Below are 18,782 nucleotides of genomic sequence, written 5' to 3' on the forward strand. Positions count from 1 at the left end.
TTTCTGTACCTAGTTGGATTTCCGGTTACACACTACTCCTTCCCTTCAATGATTTTCCAAAGTTATTTGGTGAGGACAGATGTCAGAAGAGGCAGCATATAATGGTATTACAGAGTATGTTTAAAAAGTTAAGGAAAGGTTAGTTTTTGTGTATGCTTATTACACAATTTAAAAATAGCTTTGACTCTATTTGTAAATCAAATGGCCAGTTCTCAGGCTGTGCCAAATGCGAAGCCTTCAAACAAGGTTTCTTCTGAGTTGCTTAAGCAGCCCTGGGAAGGAGAAAGCATCTGAAAGGGTTTTCAGATTGATTGTCTCTGGTTATACACAGAAATGATTGGAGTTTTATAAAGTTATCTATAAAAACACTAAGAAGAACCTTACATAACAGAGTGTGTCTTTAGTTAGTGATTTAAAAGAGTGCCATACTGGGTTTCAAGAGGTGGTGACCATTTCCCGTGTCTGAATGGAGCCTCGCCAAAAGGGAGAAAAATGTTCACAACAGTTTGCAAATACTATCTATTTAATTCTCAACCTAGCAACAGCAGAGAAAGAGATTATTATTCCTCTCTCATCTATGCTGCCCCCACTCTCCTCCCCGCTGCCCCCGATTTTATGTTTTGGTTGTGTAAATTATTGCTAAATGAATAGAACTTTCAAATAAGTCCTATGCTAGGACTTCATAAGTGCCTAGGAAATTCCAAGCTGTATTTGTAAATTTAAAGGGAAGATCAGCAGAAAAAAATGTCAAGTACTTAAAATCGACTTTTTATTAAGGACGCATGAGACCAGTGAGTAGGCCTTAGATTGGATGTGTCCACATATCCTCTGAGTCGCTCCCTGGATCCAGCAAGAAATAGGGGTGGGTGGGACATCTTTGTCCCTACACCATAGCGTTGGGGAAGAGTCTTTGTATTTTGTATTTTTATTTTTTTTTTAATAGAGATGGGGTCACACGATGTTGCCCAGGCTGGTCTTGAACTCCTTGCCTCAAGGGATCCTTCTGCCTCAGCCCTCCCAAAGTGCTGGTATTATAGGCGTGAGCTGCCACACCTGGCCTGGGTAGGACTTCTGTTTCTAGCTCTGTATCTTTCTTGCATCTGTGAACAGATAAGGTCATGTGTCTGAGCAGTAGGACCCAGGCATGCAGTTGAACTGCTCGTCCAACTTCTCTCTGGTGAGAGAATTCCTCAAAGATTTGACTTCATTCAGAGCTGCATTAAAAACAAAAGACAAAACAAAAAACACTTCTACTATGAAATGAGATTTCCTGCACTTCAAATCTGTTTAGCTTGTTTTGAAGTGCCAGAATGCTTGGCCTCCAATTAGTCAATCTCCGAGAGCCTCATTTGGATTGTAGACTCCCAACTGTTTTTTTACTTTCTCCTTGCTGATGTCATTGGATAAAAATAAATTACCACCCCTCCCCCGTCGTTCTTCATCTTTGTAAATTTGCTGCCGGTGGGTGGTAGCTGGTATCAGACCAGGGCAGGAAGGAAGCACATTGCTTCCTCCAGTTATGGAGCTAGCATAATAGTCAACCCCTGATGATTTATCTTAATACAATGAAAAATAAGTAACTCTCAATAATGGAGGGTGCTGGTTTGTTGGGGCGAAGCTCACTGCAGTTTGTTTCTATTTTATTCCAATGTGGGACATTGTGGTGGATGCTGTGTTTTAGGGCCCAGATCGCTCTTTAGGGATGAAGGACTTTTTCCCGAAAGCTGCTAGGAGTGTTGTGCCCGACTGCCTTCAGAGCCAGTTGTCTCTGATGATCGTATCAGCTAGAGAATTGCCTTGCCCATGGTGGCCTCCCTCCTGGGGATGGCCTGTATTATGTGACTGATTGACGTGGGGTATGAAGGTCTGGCCCTTTCGCCCCAGTTCAGGACAACTCTCACTGGCCCTGACTGCTTCTGAGCTGCCCTGGTGGATGCCTCTTTGGAGCCTGCATTGCAGCCCCACTGCTCTCTCCCCTAGTGCAGTTTCCCCCTTTCCCTTCTGCAGGTGCTGATCCACCGAATACTCCTTAGTAAACCTCCTGCATTGTAATTACCGTCTCAGAGTTGGCTACTGTTTAACTTTCCTTTGAAGAGGAATGTTTCAGATCTTGGAATCAACTTCAAACATGTCAAAACTGTGTAGTGTGAAGAATTGACATGAGTTGGGAAAGTCTTTCGTTTTTATATCCTTTTCAGAGTTCTTGTATGACACAAAATATTTTAGAGTTAGCTCCGCTACTGCAGTGCTTGGAGTATAACTCTAAGTTTCTTCTAAGAGAAACTTCATGGAAGAAGAATCCACAGGTTTTGGTGAGTGATAAACTTAGAGTTGAGGAGAGAAAAGAGTTCAAGATGATTGAGATTTTGAACATCCATGATTGAGGAAGTGGTGATAGCAACATATACAAACAGGCTATACAGGCAGTGGAACTTTTACTATAATCAAAGATATGTATAATGAAAACAATGGTGAGGCACAAGGCTGGGTCCAGTGGCTCACGCCTGTAATCCCAGCACTTTGGGAGGCTGAGGCGGGCAGATCACTTGAGGTCAGGAGTTCGAGACCAGCCTGGCCAACATGGCACAACCCTGTCTCTACTAAAAACACAAAAAATTAGCCAGCTGTGATGGTGCTTGCCTGTAGTCCCAGCTACATGGGAGGCTGAGGCATGAGAATCTCTTGAACCCGGGAGGTGGAGGTTGCAGTGAGCTGAGATCGTGCCACTGCACTCCAGCCTGGGTGACAGAGCAAGACTCTGTCTCAAAAACAAACAAAAAACCAGTGATGAGGCACGGTGACTCACATCTGTAATCCTAGGGCCTTGGGAAGTCAAGGTGGGAGGATCACTCGAGCCTAGGAGTTTGAGAGCAGCCTGGGCAACATAATGAGCCCCCATTTCTACAAAAAAGTAAAAAAAATTAGCCAGGCATGGTGGCCTGTGCTTGTAGTCCTAGTTACTGGGGAGGCTGAGGCAGGAAGATCGCTTGAGTCCAGGAGTTTGGGGTGGCAGTGAGCTATGATTGCACCACTGTACTCCAGCCTGGGTGACAGAGTGAGACCCTGTCTCCAAAAAAAAAAAAAAAAAAGGTATGTATAATAAAACCAACTATACAACTGATTCTTTTTTTAATTTTTAATTGTTGTGGATACATAGAAGATGTATATATTTACAGGGTACATGAGATACTTTGAAACAGGCATGCAATGTCAACAACCACATCATAGTAACTGGGGTATCCGTTCCCTCAAGCATTTGTCCTTTGTGTTACAAACAATCCAGTTATACTATTTTAGTTATTTAAAAATGTACAATCAAATTGTTATTGACTACAGTCCTCCTGTTGTGCTATCAAATACTAGGTCTTATTCATTTTTCTAACTATTTTTTGTGCCCATTAACCATCCTCACTTGCTCCCTAACCCTTCACTACTCTCCCTAGCCTCTGGTAACCATCCTTCTACACTCTTATCTCCATTATTAGTTAAATTGTTTTAATTTTTAGCTACCACAAATAAGTGAGAACATGCAAAGTTTGTCTTTCTGTGTTTGGGTTATTTCACTTAACATAATGACCTTCAGTTCCATCCATGTTGTTGCAAATGACAGGATCTCATTCATTTTTATGGCTGAGTAGTACTTAATTGTGTACATGTACCACATTTTCTTTATCCATTCATTTGTTGATGGACACTTAGGTTGCTTCCAAATCTTAGCTATTATGAACAGTGGTGTAACAAACATGGGAGTGCAGATAGCTCTTTGATATACTGATTTCCTTTCTTTTGGGTATATACTCAGCAGTGGGATTGCTAGATTGTATGGTAGCTCTATTTTTAGTTTTATGAGGAACCTCCAAACTGTTCTCCATAGTGGTTGTGCTAATTTTCATTTCCATCAACAGTGTATGAGGGTTCCCTTTCCTCCACATCCTCATCAGCATTTGTTACTGCCTGTCTTTTGGATAAAAGCCATTTTAACTGGGGCGAGATGATATCTCATTGTAGTTTTGATTTGCATTTCTCTAATGATCAATGGTGTTGAGAGGGCCTTTTCATATACCTGTTTGCCATTTGTATGTCTTCTTTCGAGAAATGTCTATTCAGATCGTTTTCCCATTTTTAATTGGATTATTAGATTTTTTCCTGTAGAGTTATTTGAGTTCCTTATGTGTTTTGGTTATTAATCCCTTGTGAGATGAGTAGTTACAAAGATTTTCTCTCATTCTGAGTTGTATCTTCATTTTGTTGATTGTTTCCTTTATTGCGCAGAAGCTTTTTAACTTGACGTGATCCCATTTGTCGATTTTTGCTTTGGTTGCCTGTGCTTGTGGGATATTGCTCAAGAAATCTTTGCCCAGTTCAGTGTCCTGGAGAGTCCCTCCAAAGTTTTCTTTTAGTAGTTTCACAGTTTTAGGTTTTAGGTTTAAGTCTTTAATCCATTTTGATTTGATTTTAGTGTATGGTGAGAGACAGGGTCTAGTTTCATTCTTCTGCATATGTACATCCAGATTTCCTAGCACCATTTATTGAAGAGACTATCTTTTCCTCAATATATGTTCTTGGCACCTTTGTCAAAAATGAGTTCACTGTAGGTGTATGGATTTGTTTCTGGCTTCTCTATTGTGTTCCATTGGTCGTGTGTCTGTTTTTATGCCAATATCATACTGTTTTGGTTACTATAGCTCTGTAGCATAATTTGAAGTCAGGTAATGTGATTCCTCCTTTTTTTTTTTCTTTCTCAGTATGGCTTTGGCTATTCTGGGTCTTTGGTGGTTCCATAAAAATTTTAGGATTTTTTTTCTATTTCTGTGAAGAATGCCATTGGTATTTTGATAGAGATTGCATTAAATCTATAGATTGCTTTAGGCAGCATGGACATTTTAACAATATTGATAATTTCAATCCGTGAACATGGAATATCTTTTCATTTTTTTGGTGTCATCTTCAATTTTTTTCATCAGTGTTTTATACTTTTCATTGTACAGATTTTTCACTTCTTTGATCAAGTTAATGCCTGGGTATTTAACTTTATTTGCTGCTATTGTAAATGGGATTACTTTCTTGATTTCTTTTTCAGATTGTTCACTGCTGGCATATAGAAATTCTACTGATTCTTTTTTTTTTTTTTTTTTTTTTTTTTGAGATGGAGTCTCGCTCTGTCACCCAGGCTGGAGTGCAGTGGCGCAATCTCGGCTCACTGCAAACTCCGCCTCCCGGGTTCAGGGCATTCTCCTACCTCAGACTTCCAAGTAGCTGGGACTACAGGCGCCTGCAACCACGCCCGGCTAATTTTTTGTATTTTTAGTAGAGACGGGGTTTCACCGTGTTAACCAGGACGGTCTCGATCTCCTGACCTCGTGATCCGCCCACCTCGGCCTCCCAAAGTGCTGGGATTACAGGCGTGAGCCACCGCGCCTGGCTTCTACTGATTCTTGTATGTTGATTTTGTATCCTGCAACTAGACTGAGTTTATCAGTTCTAATCGTGTTTTGGTGGCATCTTTAGGTTTTTCCAAATATAAGATCATATTGGCTGGGCGTGGTGACTCATGCCTGTAATCCCAGCACTTTGGGAGGTGGAGGAGGGCCAGATCACTTGAGCCTGGGAGTCTGAGACCAGCCTGGGCAACATAGGGAGACCCTGTGTCTATTTATCTTTAAAAAGTAAATTAATTAAAAATATTATATCATCTGCGAACAAAAATAATTTGACTTCTTCCTTTCCAATTTGCCTGCCCTTCATTTCTTTCTCTTGTCTGATTGCCCTAGCTAGGACTTCCAGTACTATGTTGAGTAACAGTGGTGAAAGTGGGCATTCTTGTCGTCTTCCTGATCTTAGAGGAAAGGCTTTCAGTTTTTCCCCATTTAGTATCATACTAGCTGTGGGTCTGTCATATATGGCTTTTTTTATGTTGAGGTGTGTTCCTTCTATATGCAGTTTTTTTGAGGGTTTTTATCATGAAGAGGTGCTGAATTTTATCAAATTTTTTTAAATTATCAATTGAAATGATCATGTAGTTTTTGCCCTTCATTCTGTTGATATGATGTATCACATTGATTGATGTGCATACAACTTTTTTTTTTTTTATATTCAGAGTCAGTGCAGAGCAGTGGTTTAGAGCTCAGGCCCATGAGTCAGGTGGTTAGGGTCAGAAGCTTGGCCCCACTACTTTTTGTCTGTGTGACCCTGGGAAAGTCATTTCACATGTCTATGTCTCAGTGTTCTCATTTGTAAAATAAGGGTAATAATACTTAATAGTATTGTTGTGAGCTTTAAACTCAATGTATGTAATGCTTTAGAACACTCTGTAAGTGGTATGTACTATTATTATTATTTTATTCATATAACTAAAAAATTGTATTCTGTCTGATCTGTTGGTTGTTTCATTGTTGCTAAACACAAATTTAAGTCTTCTATCCCCGTGACCAGTTCTGTCCAATACAAGTATAAGTCAACTACATAAGTTATTGGCAATTTTCTAGTAGCCGCACTAAAAAAGAAAGAGAAACAGGTGAAATTAATTGTAATAATATATTTTATTTAACCCAATAATTTACAAGTATTATTAGTTCAGCATTTAATCACTATAAAATTATTGACATGACATTTTACATTTTTTTGGTTGTAAGTCTCAGAAATATGGGGTGTATTTTACACTTGCTGCTTATTTCAGTGGCTCAATAGCCACATGTATTTAGAGGCTCCTGTATGTGACTGAGCAGCTTTAAAGAGTTGCTAGTTAATCTTGCTCATTTCTGAAGTGTTCCAGTCAACTGTTGCTGTGAAATAAGCCGCCCCCAGATTTAGTAGATTAAAACAACAATGGTTTATTATTTCTCACAATTCTCATTTAGCCTATACATGCTAGATTGATGATTATTGCCATTATTTTTGTGATAGTTGTGAATTCCATGATAGTTTTTGAATTCCACGATTCCTTCTACATTTATTAGTTGGAATTCTGTGGTAAGGAATAACTCTTTCTTCTCTTTCACTCAGTCATATATTTAATTGTACATCAGCATGAACTCATAGATTCTTGTTGTATTCAGTAGGTTGTAACCCATTATTTATTTTATTATTCAAGTGATCTGACCATAATATTTTAAATTAAGAAAACACCCTCTCCACACATGCTCAGGTACCTGATGAGATCAGAACAAATTCTGCTACATGGATGGTATTCTCAATTCCATCCCCCAACACCCCCGTATTGCAATGTTTAAATGTTTCAGCCCAAATATTTCACAGGGTCTGCTTGCAGAGCCCCATGCTTCTCTTCAACAAATGTTTTTACAGGACAAAATTTGTCCAGTAAATTGTCTCTATTTATGGTTCCTTTGAAAGTTTTACCAAGTTTACTTGCTGAAATATCCTAGGGCTTTTCAATTTCACTTCAATTCAGTATAGAATATAATAAGTCTTTCCCATTAAAAGTAAGCTTAATGAACAGAAGTTTCTTCCTACAAGGTAAGATACTCCCAAAGTATAACTGGTGTATATCCAAAGATATGAAATCAGTATGTTGAAGAGATAGCTGCACCCCCACATCCACTGCAGCATTATTCCCAATATCTAAGATATGGAATCGATGTCAGTGTCCATCAATGGATAAATGGATAAAGAAAGTGTGGTATATATACGTAATGGAACACTATTCAGCCATTTTTTTTAACAAAAAAAATGTAAAAAGAAGGAGGTCTTGTCATTTTCAGTGACATGGATGAACTTGGAGGACATTATGTTAAGTGAAATAAGCCAAGCACAGAAAAACAAATATTGCATGATCTCACTTATATGTGGAAGGTAAAAAAAGATGAACTCATAGAAACAAAGGGTAAAATGGCAGTTACCAGAAGTGAAAGGAATGGGGAGATGTTGGTCAATAGACACAAAATTTCAGTTATACGGGAGGAATAATTTCAAGAGATCTAGTGTACAGCATGGTGACTATGGTTAATATCAACATATTGTATACTTAAAAATTGCTTAGAGTAGATTTTAATTGTTCCTTTCCACAAGTAGTTATGTGAGGTAAGGCACATGTTAAATAGTGTGGTTTAGCCATTCCATAAGTTATACCTCATTCCATAAGGTATACATCTATCATCTATATGTCGCATACCATAAATATATTCAATTATTACTTGTCAATTAAAAAAAGAATAAAACATTTTCAGAGTTAATTTATGTGCACATTAAACCCATCCTAGAATAATATTTTGCTAACCAAAAAAAGATCCAGGACAAATGCTAAATCAGGATGCTGGAATAACAGCGTCAACTGGGATAATCCTGGTGAGGCCTCATCTTGTCCAAAGACCCCCTTTTGATTGGGCCAGGCCTCCTGGCTACTGCTGTCTTTCTGGCTGTGGTCTTTGCTCACCCAGCTCTTTGGTTTGGTAGACTCAGGTTGATCTCCACTGCTTTGCATTTGCTGCTCTTTTGCCTGTAACATTGTACCCCTCCTTGCTCATATGGCTAATTTCTCCATATCCTACAACCTTAGACACTGGCATCGTTTTCTCTAGGTGCCTTCCCTTCATCCCTCCAATGTGCTCCTTGTCCTACCTGTACTATGTATATCTGTTCCACGATACTTCCTTCTTCACCTTTTTGAAACACCATGTTCAATATCCTGTTATTTAAGAGTCTTGCTCTTTGCTTCCTATGATAACAGTTATTAGAGGAACTGATCTGTGCTAGGTGGTAAGTGATGGTGATGAATTACTTATCTGTTCCTGAAAACATACTTGTATTTCATGGAGGCCCACTGGGGTGGTAGTCTTCAAAGTGAGTGTGCACACGTCTAAGAGTATATGAGACCATTTATAAGGATGGAAGTAGAAAATGTAGTAATTTTTATTTCTTTTTTTTTTTTTTTTGAGACAGTATCTCCCTCTGTAGCCCAGGCTGGAGTGCAGTGGCACGATCTTGGCTCGCTGCAAGCTCTGCCTCCTGGGTTCACACCATTCTCCTGCCTCAGCCTCCCGAGTAGCTAGGACTACAGGCGCCTGCCACCACACCCGGCTAATTTTTGGTATTTTTAGTAGAGATGGGGTTTCACCATGTTAGCCAGGATGGTCTCAATCTCCTGACCTCATGATCCACCCGCCTCGGCCTCCCAAAGTGCTGGGATTACAGGCATGAGCCACCCACGCCCGGCCAGTAATTTTTATTTCTATTATTTTATTAAGCAAAGCTAAGAAGTTAAAGTGTTTCTCTTTTTCTTTTTATTGATTTATTTATTTATTTTTGAGACAGAGTCTTGCTCTGTTGCCCAGGCTGTAGTGCAGTGATGTGATCTCAGCTCACTGCAACCTCCACCTCCTGGGTTCAAGCAATCCTCCTTCCTCAGCTTCCCAAGTAGCTGGGACTACAGGCGTGCCACTATGCCTGGCTAATTTTTGTAGTTTTTAGTGGAGATGGGGTTTTGCCATGTTGGCCAGGCTGGTCTCTAACTCCTGACTTCAGGTGTTCTGTCTGCCTCAGTCTCCCAAAGTGCTGGGATTATAGGTGTGAGCCACTGTGCCTGGCTATAAAGTTTTTCTAATGTTTAATATTTTGGTTGAGAAAATACATGTATATAATTTTATAAATCTAATTTGACATTGGTAAGGTATACTAAGTATTTTTATTGATGGAGTACTCTATCATAAAAATTTGAAGACTACGTCTATAGGGGCATATGACATCCTCAATGGAAAACTCTTCAAGCTTTTTGACACTATAATAGCTAACATATTTCAAGTGTTTTCTATGTGTCACGCACTGTTCTATATGCTTTACAGGTATCAACATACGTATTCCTTATAACCACCTCATGAGATTGATATGATTATTAGCATCCTCATCTTATGGATGAAAAAAATTGAGCTAGAGAATCAGGTAATTTGTTCAAGGACAGGGCCAGTACATATCAAATTCTTGATGTGGTCTGATTCCAGATGCTGCTAGCTTAACCCCTGCTGTGTACTGTGCTGTGCTCTGGTGCCTCTGCTCTCACATGATAGACCCATTTGGCTTCCTGGAGGAGAGGGACCACATCTGTCTTGCACATTGTGCTAGTTTTTACGGGGCCTATTATTTCCTTCTCTCTCTTTAAAATCATCTTTTGCTCCATTTTATTTCCCAAGGGCCTGCCATCTTCGATAGGAACTTTGGACAAGTTCTCTTTTATTTTTAACATGAAACCATTTTTCCCCTTGAAATAAATGGATCTGATGAGAAATTGGCATGAGTTTAATTAGCAGTCCTATGTATAGAAACTTTACACGAAAAAAGTCTGCATCACCCCAGTACTCACGAGTCAGTTATGAGTCCCAGCTCACCCCTGACATGACTAATGCCTTCCTTTCTTCCTTTATCACGAGGGTATGAGGACAAGAAATAAACCTCAGACTACTTCTGTACAGCGTGTGAAGTGTCCCGCAAGCACGTATAACCTTAAAATAGCAACAAGGGCAGCAGCAACAACGACAACAAAAATGATAATGGCAAAGAGAAGCAGAACCTAATGTTTTTTGGGTTTGCCCACTGATACCCTTTTAATCCTGATTTTTAATTGTTTGGCACAAAGATATGTAATAATTTCTTGGGTCTTCTGGGCATTTAAATGTCATTTTGGTTTCACCAAATGTATTTATGATTCCACCTACACATGTAAGAGTATTGGGAGAGTTTTGGAAGGTTTGTATTCTATCATCATATTCAAATTGTGCTAACTCTGTTTTCTTTCCTGTTTTCCTTGTAGGCTCTTTTAAGACACTTACTCTTCCATCAGTAAGTATCCATTTAAAAAATTTGGTTTCAGAAATATATTGTATCAGTGAACTAAATAAATTAATATTTTATTGGATTTTATGTCAATTCACACATTTCACGTTTCATGTAAGTTTGGCTTGAGTTTAGTTCAGCCTTCAGATTATTTATGAATAATATTATTTCAAGGAGATTGATTATGAGGCTCTTCAAACTCTTGGCAGAGATTTTCCTCTTGTAAAATAGAAGACTTCACTGAAGGAAACTGGCCTGGACTATTAGCACAGAAATCTGGACTGGTCATAAAAAGGAACGAGACCATGTCCTTTGCAGGAACATGGATGGAGCTGGAGGCCATTATCTTTAGCAAACTAAAATAGGAACAGAAAACTAAACACCACATGTTCTCACTTATAAGTGGGAGCTGAATGATGAGAACACATGGACACATAGAGGGGAACAACACACACTGGGGCCTACTGGAGGGTAGAGGGAGGGAGGAGGGAGAGGAGCAGGAAAAATAGCTAATGGGTTCTAGGTTTAGCAACTGGGTGATGAAATAATCTGTGCGACAACCCCCATGACACAAGTTTACCTATGTAACAAACCTGCACTTGTACCCCTGAACTTAAAATAAAAGTTAAAAAAAAACAAGGCATCTGGGCTGGTTTGCTCCTGCTTCTGTCGTAATGAGCCTTCTAGTGTGGAACTCTGCTCCTCAGTTTCCTTGTGCTTGAAAAGAGCAGTGCCATGCTGAGACATACTAGAACTTGAGGCAAAAGGAAAAATCAGTAATATTGACCCTGTCTTTGTTTAAAACTTCGACTTCTTTGTTTATAATTTTTTGCATTAATTTTGATATTTTAAAATATTGTATTAAAATATTATTTTCTTGATTGCTAAATTTTTTGGTACCCCCTTAAATTTTGCACCTTAGACAAGTGCCTCACTCACCTCACCATAGCCCTGGCCTTGGAAAAGAGAATGAAGATACCATCTTTATCTCACAGCATGTCCTGGAGTGAAATGAGATGTGGAAGTGTTGTAGCACTTGCTATAGAAATGGAAAGGAGTTATTATTTTGTTGAGAGATTCATAAAACCTTATTATTAAATGTTTGTGGATGAATCTTCCTATAGCTTTGATTTGGAAGTTTATACTTTCATTACTATGCTTTGTTTTGGGGCTTTACATGCTTAATGTACAGTATAGTAAACCACAGCATCCAACATCAGGTGCAGTTTGATATATGTACTTTTCTGAGAACAGAGGACTAATGACTTAGGCCCTGACACACTGTATACCTGATTAGTATCAGCATTACCTCATAAGCCAGGTTCGCTCATTACCTTAAATTTTTTTTTTTTTTTTTTTGAGACAGGTCTTGGTCTGTTGCCCGGGCTGGAGTTCAGTGGCACAATCATGGCTCACTGCAGCCTCAATCTCCCAGGTTCAAGCAATCTTCTCACCTCAGCCTCCCGACTACTGGCATGTGCCACCATGCCTGGCTGATTTTTTATTTTTTGTAGAAACAGGTTTCCCTATGTTGCCCAGGCTTGTCTCAAACTCCTGGGCCCAAGCATCCCTCCTGCCTTGGTCCCCCAAAGTGCTGGGATTACAGGAGTGAACCACCATGCCTGGCCCACTTAGTACCTTTTGAAAGTTACTTGTCAAGTACATTCAGAAACCACATTTATTTTGGGGGGTTCATAGAGAATATTATACTCTCAAACAATACTTTATAAAAATTACTTAGTATGCTATATCTATTCTGTTTGTTACATATTATATTTGTACTTTCTTTCCTAAGAAATATACTGCTGCTAATAATAGAAAGTGGAAGAAAAAAGGCATAAGCAGGCAGAAGTGGGGGAAAAAAACCCTGCAATCTTTGTGGCAATAAAACATTAGATTGCATTAAAATAACCTAAAACATTAGATACTGGCCCCAGTGCCTGGGCGCAGAACTTTGTTGAAAGGGTATTCCAGTGGTAAGATGAAAATAAATCCTGTGTCGTATATTTGCCCTATAGCAGAAGGAGGGTGGGGTTTAAGCTCAGGAATCACAGCCTAAAGCACAATAATTGTCTGGTTTCCTCAAAGGAGTTTGCAGTTTCACATACCGGAAGTGTAGAAAGGCTGAAAGGAGAAGGCGGGGCAAGGGCATGAGAGTTTCTTTCAATGATACTAGTATAAACTGTACGTGTCTGAGCTAATATTAACTAGAAATTTGTCTACTACACTTCTTTTTTTTTTTTTTTTTTTTTGAGACAGAGTTTCTCTCTTGTTGCCCAGGCTGGAGAGCAGTGGCGCGATCTCGGCTCACTGCAACCTCCGTTTCCCGGATTCAAGAGATTCTCCTGCCTCAGCCTCCCGAGTAGCTGGGATTACAGGCATGCACCACCATGCCCAGCTAATTTTTTTTTGTATTTTTAGTAGGGACAGAGTTTCGCCATGTTGGTCTGGCTGGTCTTGAACTTCCAACCTCAAGTAATCCGCCTGCCTCGGCCTCCCAAAGTCCTGGGATTACAGGCGCAAGCCACTGCGCCCAGCCTACTATACTTCTTTTAAGTCTTAAGTATATGAAATACTAACTCTGACATCCAGTATTTGTCTTTAATATTATGTCATTTCAATTGTATATAAATATAGCTATTATCTATTGAAAGCTTTATTAGAGATTATATTTTGGAGTGTATCTCTTTTTAGTAAAGCACAGTATGAAAGACTTAGAAATAAAGTGTATGGACAAATTTGATAATGCTTGACAAAAAAAGAAGGCTCTGCATTTTAATGAGTTTTCAATTAAAGCAGAACCAACTTTCTTTTTCCCCAGTGAGAACATACCTGTGAATAGAACCACCTTTTAAAGTGCACTTGCATTCTGACACTTGTAAGTGTAATATTTTAAATTATTTTTCAGGTCTTTATGGCTTTTTAGTGTAAAATATAAATATTTCAAGAATGTGTTAACACAAATGTGTTTTTTATTTCTGATTTACTCATTGTACTTCAAGACACTAAAATAACCCCCAATATGAAGTAAATAAAAAACATAAATTGAGACAATATAAATATTGTTTTGTACACAATATGGCAGAAAAACTTCTTTTGTTCTCTTTGTCAAATGAAGGAGTGGTTTTATTTGATTAGAAATGTTTTTAATGTGTAAGTATAATTACTAATATATTTTTAATGGAAACTATCATCTTAGATTTCTCAATTTTATTTTGAAAAATTGTCTCCGTTATGTTTGGTAACTGGCATTATTCCTGAAGTATATGAGGATAAATACTATTGTGTTGTCTCAGTTTCCTTACAGCAGTGAATCTTTCAGAGAAGGTGAAATGGCTTTAGACAGCCCAGATTAGAATAAGTAATCCTTATTTATTGTCTAGCAAGAATGTTTTTGAATGTGCTTACCTTATGTATCCTAGGCAGAGAGCTATCATCTCCTCAGAGAGTTTGCATTTATGTATACACGAAATAGATGTGCCTAAGTGAGAGTCAACATAGCCAATCCAGAGGCTGATTGATATTCTGTTGGTCAAAGCTTTGGGATATTGTCAATTCCCAGACTCTTGTCCTGCTTTCAGACAGCCTCTCACTGTGGGAACTGCACCTTCCTCCAGCCCTGTGCCCTCTGGTCAAGGAGTCCAAAATCTCTGTGGGTAAATAATTGACTCCTGTTTAAGAGCCATGGAAGTCACTTATCAAGGAACAGCTTTTTTTCCCCCTTTCCCCCACCAATTTCGGGAACCTTTTTCAGTAACTGTGGCCCCAAGACGGCAGAAGGCAATTTACCAGTAAAGATGCAGGAGCTTCTGTTACCTCATAGTGTCCACTCTGCTGTGGGCAGGTTATAACCCACTCCAGATCTGGCACAGAGAGAGAAACTTTTATAAAAATTGCTTAAAGTCAATAATCTTTTCTTCAGTCTCATTATGCGCCCCCATTGTTAACCATGGAGCACCGAGGTCTGCATTGACACCACAAGACTCTGGAGCACCACCCAGAGTACGTGGTGACACCCCGAGACATGTGGTGATGCCCCATGCTTCATACAGGCACCCAGGTCTAATGATTCACCAAGGCCCATATTGTCATCTCTGGGTGGCTTGCCCTGGGACTAACACTGAGTCTTTGAGGATCCCAAATTACCTAAATTTTATATATGGCAAGGTGGGGTTTTTAACGGGGAAAAGTTAAAAAAGCAAATTAGTTAAGGTAACCCAAAGGAACAGGAAGATAGTCAGTAATGTTTCCCCTGAGTCAGTGTCAGCTCCCTGAAGGAGGATAGAGTAGGAGGTAGAATAAAATGTTTTCGGGCATATTTGCATTTATTTTAATTCTCTGACCCTTTAGGCTGCTTGTGGTTAATAGGCTTCTTTAGCTCTAGGCCTCTGTGTCATTAATTTGACATCAGTCTTCAATCTAGCATCTGTTCTGGGGCCTCTGTGCCACTAAAAATGATAAACATATCAAATCAGGAAGAGCAATCCCATCAAATATATTTTTAAACATGAAATATTTAGAAATCGATGCCATTTATAAGCATATAATATTCTGGTTCCTGGTGTATATATTTTCTTGTTTATAGTATTAGGAAATCTGATTCAAAGAGTCTGAGGACTGAAGTATCACTTGAGAAAATAGAATTTAAGATTGCAAGTTCCAGGCTAGACTCTGCTCTACCAGGGCACAGGTCTTTGGTTCATGTTGTATCCCAAGTACCTAGGGCGTCCTGGTACACAAAGGGTGCTCAATAAATACTTCTTTAGGCTGGGCGCAGTGGCTCACATGTATAATCCCATCACTTTGGGAGGCCGAGGTGGGTGGATCACTTGAGTTCAGGAATTCGAAACCAGCCTGGCCAACATGGTAAAACCTTTTCTCTACTAAAAATACAAAAATTAGCTAGGCATGGTGGCGCACACCTGTAGTCCCAGCTACTTGGGAGGCTGAGGCAGGAGAATCGCTTGAACCCAAGAGGTGGGGTTGAGATTGGGCCACTGCACTCCAGCCTGGGCAACAGAGCAAGAGTTCGTCTCAAAACAAAACAAAACAAAACAAAACACTTCTTTATTGAATAAAAGCAAAAATTGACACCAGAAGTCATTTGAAGGTGACATACTGATTGTTTTTCCTAACATTTTATTATTAACTTTTCAAATATACAAAAAACTTGAAAATGTTTCATAATGAACACTCCTATACTTGCCACTTAGGGTCTACCATTAACATTTTACTATACTTGCTCTATCATACATCTATCCATCTACCCATCTTTCTATCCATCCATTAGTTCATCTTATTTTTAAATGTATTTCCAAGTAAATTGCAGACATCAATACTCTTCTCCCTAAATATTGCTGCTGACCATTTTATTGTTGACAGTGGTTTCTTGCACTTTCTTCATATTCTTAACCACATTGATAGCATTCTGATGTCTGCTATTATTGGAAAATCCCCTTTGAGCTATCTGTAGACAAAACTTATTTGCAAAAATGAGTCAGGATATAGTTTCGGGACCTCAGTTTTAATATGAAAATCAACTAAAAGTCAAGCATGCTAGTTATCTATTGCTAAGTAACTCTAAAACTTTGCTTCAAACAATAATAAATTAAACTTTTATTACTTCTCACAGTCTTTGTGGGTGAAGAATTGGGAACAATATGGTTGGGCATTTCTGATTTGGAGTCTCACGAGGTTGCAATCAAGATATCAGCTAGGGCTGCAGTCATCTGAAGGCTTCATCAGGGCTAACACATTCTGTGAGGCAGCTCATTCACTAGGCTGACACGTGGTTGTTGGTGGTTGGTGGGAGGCCCTGGTTCCTCCCAATGTGGGCCTCTCCACAGACTTCTTTAGTGTCCTTACCACACCACTCTGGCTTCCTCCAGAGTGAGTGATCCAAGCGAGAAAGAGAGACAACAGGGAAGAAGGTATTCTTTTTCTGACATAGCCTAATTCTAGGATTTGGAAGGAAATCACTAAGTCTGGGGAATTAGGCTTCACCTTTTGAAGGGACTAAAGTCAGAGAATTTTTGGACATATTTTAAAATTACCACATCAAAGTGTGTGTGTGTGTGTGTGTGTGTAGTGTGTGTGTCTGAAATGATTTTAATAAGAATATCCACCTGAGGGATTGTTGTGAATTAAAATGATATAGTGCAGGTAAACTGCTCAGTATGGCTCTGGTCTGCTAATGCTAGAAGGTAGGACTTCTATTGTTATTATTATTATTATTATTATTATTATTATTATTATTATTATTTTGAGACAAATTCTCGCTCTGTTGCCCAGGCTGGAGTGCAGTGGCACGATCTCGGCTCACTGCAACCTCCATGTTCAAGCGATTCTCCTGCCTCAGCCTCCCGGAGTAGCTGGGACTACAGGCGCATGCCACCACACCTGGGTGATTTTTGTAGTTTTAGTAGAGATGGGGTTTCACCATGTTGGCCAGGCTGGTCTCAAACTCCTGACCTCAGGTGATCTGCCTGCCTTGGTCTCCCAAAGTGCTGGGATTACAGGTGTGAGTTAACGTGCCTGGGAAGGATTTCTGTTATTAATAGTAGTAGTAGAAGTAGCAGCATCATCATCCCTACCAAGACTATGACACATATGCGCAAGATGCATTAGGAGAATGCATCTCAGAAAACAGGTTGAGAGAATATAGCAAGAAACAAATTTTGTGCAGAAGAGCCTTTCATCAGCTGACTGCCTCAAATAGGGTGAGCGTGGAAAAGAAGGTTGAAGGATGTTAGATATTCTGACCTGCAATAACTGTTAGGGAGGATGAATTTGCACTTGGAATAGGAAATGGCAAGGTGACTCCTGCTGAGGGAGAGCAGTGGGCTATGTGTCCCCCATTCCAGGAGCCCTGTGATGTAACTGGAGAGCAAACTGCAGGAAGTTAAAAGAGGGAAAACAAATTAACTCTGATGCCTGGGAGGGGCAAATTTTCAACATCGCAGTTACTTTTGATAATACTGTGTATTTACTTTTTTTATTCTAACTTGCAATTAAAACATTTTTGAGGTAAAATAATGAGACCTTGATGTGTGATCTCTTTTTCCCCCCAGCTACCTCTGAACAGTGCAGATGAGATTTATGAGCTACGTGTAACCGGACGTACCCAGGATGAGATTTTATTCTCTAATAGTACCCGCTTATCATTTGAGACCAAGAGAATATCTGTCTTCATTCAAACAGACAAGGCCTTATACAAGCCAAAGCAAGAAGTGAAGTTTCGCATTGTTACACTCTTCTCAGATTTTAAGCCTTACAAAACCTCTTTAAACATTCTCATTAAGGTAAGTGCCAGACAGAAATGAAGCAAGGAATTCTAGCCATCTTACTAAACCCCTCTGGGAAGTTCTGCTTGTGTTACTGACACTGGAATATTTTAGAATTCACCTAAGATAAGCTTCCCTCCCAACATGGAACTCCTCTAATAGGAAAGAAGGTGGTGCATGCACTGGGTTAAGAGCTCAGCCTCTAGAGTCAACCTGCTTGAGTTCCAGGCCTGGGGTCTTCATTGATTTATACAGTTGTCAAACATTTATTAAACTTCTGTGTTCCAGGCACAGCGATAGGGCAGTGAACAGAAGAGATTAAGTCCCTGCTGACACTGAGTTTATTTTTCAGTGGGTAGTAGGAGACAGACATAATAAATAAACATACAAATATATATTTATAAAGGGACAGATATGTATGTATTTGTGTGTGTGTATGAGAGAGAAAAAGGGAGTGAGAGACAGAGAGTTTGTGTTTGCTATTTTCTTTCTTTCTTTTTTTTTTTTGAGATGGAGTTTCACTCTTGTTGCCCAGGCTGGAGTGCAATGGCACGATCTTGGCTCACTGCAACCTCCGCCTCCTTGGTTCAAGCGATTCTCCTGCCTCAGCCTCCTGAGTAGCTGGGATTATAGGCATGTGCCACCACGTCTGCCTAAATTTGAATTTTTAGTAGAGACGGGGTTTCACCATGTTGGTCAGGCTGACCTCGTGATCCACCC

At 39.5% G+C, this 18,782-nt stretch overlaps 1 protein-coding gene across 9 annotated transcripts in view, besides 1 other annotated feature; it reads left to right on the plus strand.

The window, feature by feature from the left end:
• CD109 (CD109 molecule) overlaps positions 1-18,782 on the plus strand; it is a 149,122-nt gene that overhangs the window by 33,303 nt on the left and 97,037 nt on the right. For 4 of the 9 annotated variants that reach the window (XM_047418211.1, XM_047418212.1, NM_133493.5 and 1 more), the window contains 2 exons: positions 10,757-10,785; positions 17,850-18,080. In XM_047418211.1, the coding sequence (XP_047274167.1) occupies positions 10,757-10,785; positions 17,850-18,080 (260 nt within the window). Of the gene's footprint in view, positions 1-9,660; positions 9,892-10,401; positions 10,666-10,756; positions 10,786-13,600; positions 13,658-17,849; positions 18,081-18,782 lie in introns of those variants that run through there. The other 5 variants (XM_047418216.1, XM_047418215.1, XM_047418213.1 and 2 more) reach the window with 5 other exon arrangements.
• Positions 10,258-10,458: a silencer, noted in NCBI's record as "peak5902 fragment used in MPRA reporter construct". NCBI's record gives its function as "represses an SCP1 promoter by STARR-seq MPRAs in K562 erythroleukemia cells {active_cell/tissue: K562}" and the evidence as "EXISTENCE:reporter gene assay evidence [ECO:0000049][PMID:32103011]".

Source organism: Homo sapiens, chromosome 6, assembly GCF_000001405.40.
Source record: "Homo sapiens chromosome 6, GRCh38.p14 Primary Assembly".
In the NCBI taxonomy this organism is placed as follows: domain Eukaryota; kingdom Metazoa; phylum Chordata; class Mammalia; order Primates; family Hominidae; genus Homo; species Homo sapiens.